At 46.5% G+C, this 7,481-nt stretch overlaps 2 annotated features.

Annotated features, from left to right (window-relative positions):
• Positions 2,206 to 2,345: an enhancer, noted in NCBI's record as "active region_28706". NCBI's record gives its function as "activates an Ori minimal core promoter by ATAC-STARR-seq in GM12878 lymphoblastoid cells {active_cell/tissue: GM12878}" and the evidence as "EXISTENCE:reporter gene assay evidence [ECO:0000049][PMID:35858748]".
• Positions 5,724 to 5,773: an enhancer, noted in NCBI's record as "active region_28705". NCBI's record gives its function as "activates an Ori minimal core promoter by ATAC-STARR-seq in GM12878 lymphoblastoid cells {active_cell/tissue: GM12878}" and the evidence as "EXISTENCE:reporter gene assay evidence [ECO:0000049][PMID:35858748]".

Genomic DNA, 7,481 nt, shown 5'->3' with positions numbered 1-7,481 from the left:
CCTATTTTCAAAACTTGAAGGGCTGTGCTGGAACGAGGGAGTAGAGGTGGACTGAGGTGCCCCAAGTGCCAAGCTGGGCACGATGGCTGAGAGCTGCAGGATGGAAGATTTCGGTCCAATGTAAAGGAAACCTTGCGCACTCATCAAGGGGCCTTGGGAGGAAGGTATTTATTTGTTATTGGAAATGTTCAGTCTAAGACCAGATGACCATTTGTCAAGGCCACCTCCTACCTTGCATAGGGCAGGAAGTCACCTAGTCCATGGCACTATCTGATGCTTTAAACATCTAATTGAGCTCTAAACATCTCATTGAGCTCATATTCTAGGGGAATATGATTTGTTAGGTCATCCAGGAAGACGGCTGTCTGTTTATAAATTTCAGTCATAAGCAATGCTCGAAGAAGTCAGGATCCATAACACATAACCTTGTATTTCAGAGTAATTTGTTAGATTTTAGCTGGAAGCATGAGGAAGAGTCTGAGATGCTCGTGTCAGGCTAGAGACCAGGGAAATGGGCTAAAGGAAGAGAAGGCAGCTCAGCTTACCCTCAAATGCTGCCCAGAAAATGTGCTTTCATTCTGAGAAGACGTGCACGGCTGTCACAACCCTGAGAGCCATTAGAGCGTAGAGGTACCTACTGTCTTAAAATAATTCAATAACAAAGCACACAAAATGCTCACTATTCAAACATTTATACAGGGTCTGCTATGTGCAAAGCACTTGGAATATAAAAGTAAATCTAGAGCCGGGCACGGTGGCTCATGCCTGTAATCCCAGCACTTTGGGAGGCTGAGGCGGGCGGATCACCTGAGGTCAGGAGTTCCAGACCAGCCTGGCCAACATGGTGAAACCCTGTCTCTACTAAAAATACAAAAAATTAGCCGGGTGTGGTTGCAGGCGCCTGTAATCCCAGCTACTCTGGAGGCTGAGGCAGGAGAATCGCTTGAACCCAGGAGGCAGAGGTTGCAGTGAGCCGAGATCGTGCCACTGCACTCTGGCCTGGGCAACAAGAGTGAAACTCCATCTCAAAAACAAAAAGTAAATCTAAAAAGCAGATAGAGCTAAGAAGGTTATAGTCTAGAAGAGGCAATAAGACCTGAGTAGAAAATAACTGCAATCCAAGGTAGAAAATGCCTAGTGTTGTGAAAGAGGCACATGGGATTGTATGGCTTTCACAAGAGGAAGCACTGGAGGAAGGTTTTGCAGAGAAAATGACATCTAAGCTGGGCCTTTAGTAACACAAAAGACTTGCACCCCAAATGATGGAAGGGAATAACATCTCAGGGGAAAAAGTAGTGTGGGCAAAACTGCAGAGTTCCAAAAGCATGGGCTGAAGAATTGGAAGTACAAGTAGGTGGCGCCCCCTGTGACTGGAGCACAGGGAGTGTGGAGGGGGTGGGGCAGGATGTAAGATCAGAGAAGTAATTAATCATCCAGTAGTTGCACTCCTAGGTATATTACCAAGAGAATTGAAAACATACCTCCACATAAAAGACCGATACACCAATGCTTATAGCAGTTTCACTCATAATAGCCAAAATGTAGAAACAAACTACTGTCCATCAACTGACAAATGGATAAATGAAATGTGTTATATCTATACAATAAAATATTACTCAGCATTCAGTAATAGGAGGGAGTGAAGTATCAATACATGCTACCATGGATGAACCTTGGAACTGTTCCAAATGAAAGAAGACAGTTACCTAAAATGCATACTGTATGATTCCATTTATATGAAAGGTCCAGAATAGGGAAATCTATAGAGACAGAAAGTATCCTAGGGCCAGCAGGGAGACAACGGGATTAGGTGTTGATGGAAAAGGGTTTCTTTTGGGGATGGTGAAGGTGTTGATGGAAAAAGGTGTTGATGTTAAAGGGTTTCTTTTGGGGATGATGAAAATGTTCTATAATTGAGCATGGTGATGGTTGTACAATTCTGTGAATATACTAAAAACCATTTAATTGTACATTTTAAATAGGTGAATTGTATGGTATGTGAATTATATCACAATAAAGATATAACCCCAAAAATGGTCCTTCCCCAGAGGCAGCAATGAGAAGCACTGGAATAGACCACAGAGAACACTTAGTCTCACTCCCACGGTGCAGAAGGAAACATTAAGACCCAGAGAGGGGAAAGATTTCTCCAGGGTCTCACCACAGGTCAACAGCAGAGCTGCAACTAGAACACAAGACTCCGCCTGTGCCCTCAGTGTCCTTCCCACTGCACGGGACTATTCCCAACATTCTTCCACTCCTAGGACCACACCCTTCAAGCAGAATTCATGATCATGGCTGTCAGAGTCTACCTAGAGAAAGGGAAGTAGAAGCAGAATATTTGTGGTTCAGTCTCAGGATTGGAAGAAAGGTCATAACTGAGGCTTATATCCCCTTTTTAATATTTCCATCACACGGTCATCTAGCAAACCTTGAACAATCTTGATGATGGGAAACTTGGTACCTCCAAAACGTCTCTGAACAACTTTGTGGTGCACAGAACTGCATCTCCCTCCAGCTTCCTCCTGATGACGGGAGAGCGAAGGGCCACACTGTAGTCAGACTGTTGTGAGAGGCTTTACAATGAACCGCAGCTGCATTTGCATTGCTTTTTCTCACTTGATTAAGTGCTTCTAAGGCAGAGGCTGTGTTTTTGTGTTTTGTTTTGTTTTGAGATGGAGTCTCGCTCTGTCGCCCAGCCTGGAGTGCAGTGGTGCAATCTCGGCTCACTGCAACCTCCGCCTCCCAGGTTCAAGCAATTCTTCTGCCTCAGCCTCCCGAGTAGCTGGGACTACAGGCATGTGGCACCATGCCCAGCTAATTTTTGTATTTTTACTAGAGATGGGGTTTCACCATATTGGCCAGGCTGATCTCGAACTCCTAACCTCATGATCCACCCGCCTCAGCCTCCCAAAGTGCTGGGATTACAGGTGTGAGCCACCACGCCCGAACTTTTCTTTTTTTTGAGATGGAGTCTCGCTCTGTCACCCAGACTGGAGTACAGTGGCGTGATGATTTTGGCTCACTGCAACCTCCACCTCCCGGGTTCAAGCGATTCTCTTGCCTCAGCCTCCCAAGTAGCTGGGATTACAGGCATGCACCAATACGCCCAGCTAATTTTTGTATTTTTAGTGGAGACGAGATTTCACCATGTTGGCCAGACTGGTCTTGAACTCCCGACCTCAGGTGATCCACCTGCCTTGGCCTCTCAAAGTGCTGGGATTATAGGTGTGAGCCACTGTGCCCGGCCTGTGTTTGATTTTATATCTCTATCTCCTGAAATATGGCCAGACTCAGAGAAGGAAGTTCTAAACATTTGCTGAAGGAATTAGAATTAGTGAACCAAAGAAAGAAACTATAGGGCTTGATGCTTCTAACCAAGTCCCTCCCCTGGAGAATGTCTCTTTCCTTGGTATCAGTTACATGTCCCAATCTTGATGCACTGCCCATTTCTGTGGCTGCTCCACTGCCTTGACTTCTGTCTTCTGCCCATAATCACTGGCATTTCTCAAAGGTTAAACATCAGCTTCTCTGGCTCTTCTCACTGTTACAGAGTTCCTCTCTCTCCAAGCTCACTCCAGAGGCTCCCCTGCCAGACTCATTGCTCACGTGAACTTGGGTGGTAATTCTGATGCTACTGGACATCCCAATTGAACATCCTCCCATCACTGCAGATGTCCAAAACCAACTCATCGTGCCTTTGCCAAGAGCAGCAGCCTTTCTAAGCCTTCATGCCTCTTATTAGAACTAAATATGGCAGGAAATTTTTTATTTATTTATTTATTTTTTGAGATGGAGTCTCGTACTGTCACCCAGGCTGGAGTGCAGTGGTGCGATCTCGGCTCACTGCAACCTCTGCCTCCTGGGTTCAAGCAATTCTCCTGCCTCAGCCTCCAGAGTAGCTGGGACTACAGGCGCCCGCCACCACGCCCAGCTAATTTTTGTATTTTTTTTTTTTTTTTTTTTAGTAGAGATGCGGTTTCACCATATTGGCCAGGCTGGTCTCGAACTCCTGACCTTGTGATCTGCCTGCCGTGGCCTCCCAAAGTGCTGGGATTACAGGCATGAGCCACCGCGCCCAGCCAGGAAAATATTTTTTTAAGTATGAAGTACACTTTTATTCTCATATTTTTTTAAACACACAGTCCTTGTCCTACTAAAACAAAATCAGGAGGCTAAGACATTCAGGACTTGCCTCTGTGCCTCTGGCACAGCTGAAATGTAAATAGGAAGCAAAGAATCAACTTGTGAGTTATTGAAATCCATGGCAAAAACAGTCTTGAAAGCCAGAATTCTGGTTTGAAAGAGCCTGTCTTTTTAACACAGAATAGGGCTCTGAGTTCTTCAAGCACGGTTTGGTGCATGGAAAACAAAGCCTGAGGAATGGGGCTTCAACTCCAGCCAGAGTGGCTTCTCCTTTTTCCTTTAAATGCATCTCTATCACATAGGCTCAGCCCCTTCCCCACCTTCACTTCTTCTCTCCTGCCCTGCTCCAGGCTGAGCCCTCACCACCCAAGCCTGGACTATTGTAACAACTCCTTACCCAGCACCTTGGCTCTGTTTCATGCCTCCTCCATCCATCTTACACAGTCTACCACAGCGATCTTTCTAAAATCCTATCTCACACACCTCCAATGTCTCCTCTTTGCCTGCTAGAAACAATTCATATCAATTCAATAAATACTTACTGAACACCTACTAGATACTAGATGTTGCGCTAGACTGGTGTCAACCAACAACAACCCCTAGGCCGAATCAGGCCCACCACCTGTTTTTATAAATAAAGTTTTATTGCCAGTCCTGGTGGCTCATGCCTGTAATCCCAGCATTTCAGGAGGCTGAGGTGGGAGGATCACTTGAGCCCAGGAGTTCAAGACCAGCCTGGGCAATATCGTGAGACCTCATCTCTAAAAATAAAAAAATTAGAAAATGAGTCAGGAGGAGCACTTGAGCCCAGGAGGCTGAGGCTGCAATGAGCCGTGATGGCAGCACTGCACTCCTGCCTGGGTGACAGTGTGAGACCCTGCCTCAAAAATAAATACATACATAAATAATGTTTAATTGGAATTCAGTTACACTTTTTCATTTACATATTTATTTACATATCATTGTCTATGGAGGTTTTCATGCCAAGAGGGCAAAAATAGTTGTCACAAAGGCAGTGCAGTCCAAAAGTCTCAAATATTTACTACCAGGCCCTTTGTAGAAAAAGTTTACCAACCCATGTGCTAGAACCCAGGGCTACCATAGTGTGGTTCCCTGCTATCACAGAGCTTCTAGAGCAAGGCCTTCCACCATCTAACCTTGCCCTTCTGCCCTTTCTCCTGTCACTCTCCATGAGTCCTCTGAGAGTCCAATGGTTCCTAGATTTTTGGAATTTATGAATCAGTAAAACTTTTTTTCAACTACACAGGATGTACATAGGGTTGTCAAGTGGGTACTGTTCAAAAACCAACTACCATCTAACATCACCATTGTTTTCTAGAGAGAAAGAATCAACATTAAAAAGTTGCAAAAATATTCCTTATCTAAAAATAAAGAACATTTCCTCAAGTGACATTAGGTTTATGAGATTGATTCTCCTGGCTGTGTTTTTCCATTTTTGCTGTGGAATGATAGCATTCTTCAGTCACCACAGGTCTGCAGTCAGGCACAGAGGAATCTTTGATCTAGTCTCGGCTGACTGGTTTACTTTTTACTCCTCAAATTTTCTGTGGATCTTCCCGTGAGATTTGACATCCAGAAAGCTCTTCCTCCTTCTTTCCTGCTCGCTGTGCAGAGCCCAGCTCATCAGCAGCAGGAGTGCAGGGTTCCTCCCGCAGCACCCTAAATGCAGGCTGTTCAAAGGCACATCCGGGCTGTCAGCAAAACGGCTGAGTGATGCGACTGTGGGTGTCTCTGTCAGCTGCAGAGCAGGATGACAGGATGGCCCAGAAGGCTGCCTGGCGTGTGGCCCTTCCTCTGGCACAGGCAGGTGAACCTGCTGACACCGTCACGCTGACAGCTCCGTGGCACAGATTCCACCCGAATACCGGATTCAGTGAGCACCGGCTCCTGCCAAGTCTCTCACATGACCCAGAGGCCACGAGGGCCTGGGCGGCCGCGGCCAGCTCCCAATCAGCAGACGGTGTCGACAGGCACTGAGCGAGGTCGCCTTACTGGCAGGCAGCCCCAAGATACTGGGTCCTCACTGCTCACATGAAGCTTCTGGAATCCCCTCTTACGGTCCCCAGACCTGCGGGAAATAAATCATGGCTGCACCGGGAAGGTAACCCCAGCAAGGCCTGGCCCCGATATCTGGCTTTCGTTTGGGGACACGCACTTTCCAAAAGCTCCTGCTTACCCAACACCTCCTCCTCCCCTGCTGCGTGTTGGGGGAGGGGAATGTGCTTATGACCACTTGTAAAATTCACCACTGTGGGTGACAGATGACATTAAACACCATTTTTCTTTTTTATTTTTCACAAGTGGAGCAGGAGCTGCATTTTTCTAACAGTTTTCCATATCAGAAGTTGAGAATTTCATTATCCTTCCGAGCTGGTCTATAGCAAAGTTGTTTCACTTCTCAATTGTTCCCATTTAACCCATTTGTGAGACACAGGCTGGGGGTGGGGCGCAGGGGGAGGTGGCAGAGTTAAATTTCCAAGGGAAAACTAGAAACCCTGAATCAAAACTGGGAGGAAGTTTCAAGATCACCTGGCTCAAACAGCTCATACTTCTGAGGGAAACTGAGTCAAGGAGGGGCAAGAGCTCAAGACTCCACTGGTAGAACTGAAACAAGAAATAAGATCTCCTTGGTTAATCTAAACCTCTTTCAACTATAGTCTGAAAAGTCCAGCATATCATTTCCTAAAATCCAGAATGAAGGTAATTTTCCTTCTAGAAAACGAGGGTGTAGGTACTAGCTCAGCTTAGGATTCGGTGAGGAAGGGGCACTGTGGTGAAGAGGGAAGACGTGGAATCCAGCAGATAGTTACATGAAATACACGTACCCCTCACAGTAACACTTCTATTAAAGGCTGAAGAAATAGAGCTCCCACATTTTAAGTAATGACACCATAAAATTTGTTCCCTAAACACCATCACATTCAGCCCAGATGGGGAAGCCAAGGCTCAGGGAAGGGACAGGAGCTGAGTGAAGGTCACACACAGTCTGGTGAAGGGTGGGATTAGGGGCTAGGCCTCAGAAGTCTGAGCCAGCTCTCTCCCTGGCGCTGGGTCAGACCATCAGCAATCCCCGTCCTGAGGCTGATGGCCAGCCTTCAACTTAGGACCTCGTCTCAGCTTTCCCCACTGAGAGTCAGCTGTTCTTTCAGGCCATTTTGGTGCCAGGCTGATATTGCATTCCTCTCCTTGGCCCCAGAGCCAGGGACATGCTCACTGCTTGGGCTGGTAAGGGGACCCTTCCCACTGCCTGAGCCATTCTTCGCAGAATGATTTCTGTGTAGTAACTCAGAGGACAGCTGGTTTGAGGGCTGGCA

The sequence above is a fragment of the Homo sapiens genome, chromosome 9, assembly GCF_000001405.40.
Source record: "Homo sapiens chromosome 9, GRCh38.p14 Primary Assembly".
NCBI lineage: Eukaryota > Metazoa > Chordata > Mammalia > Primates > Hominidae > Homo > Homo sapiens.
Note: the sequence above shows the minus strand (reverse complement) of the source record. Positions and strands in the feature narration are given on the sequence as shown.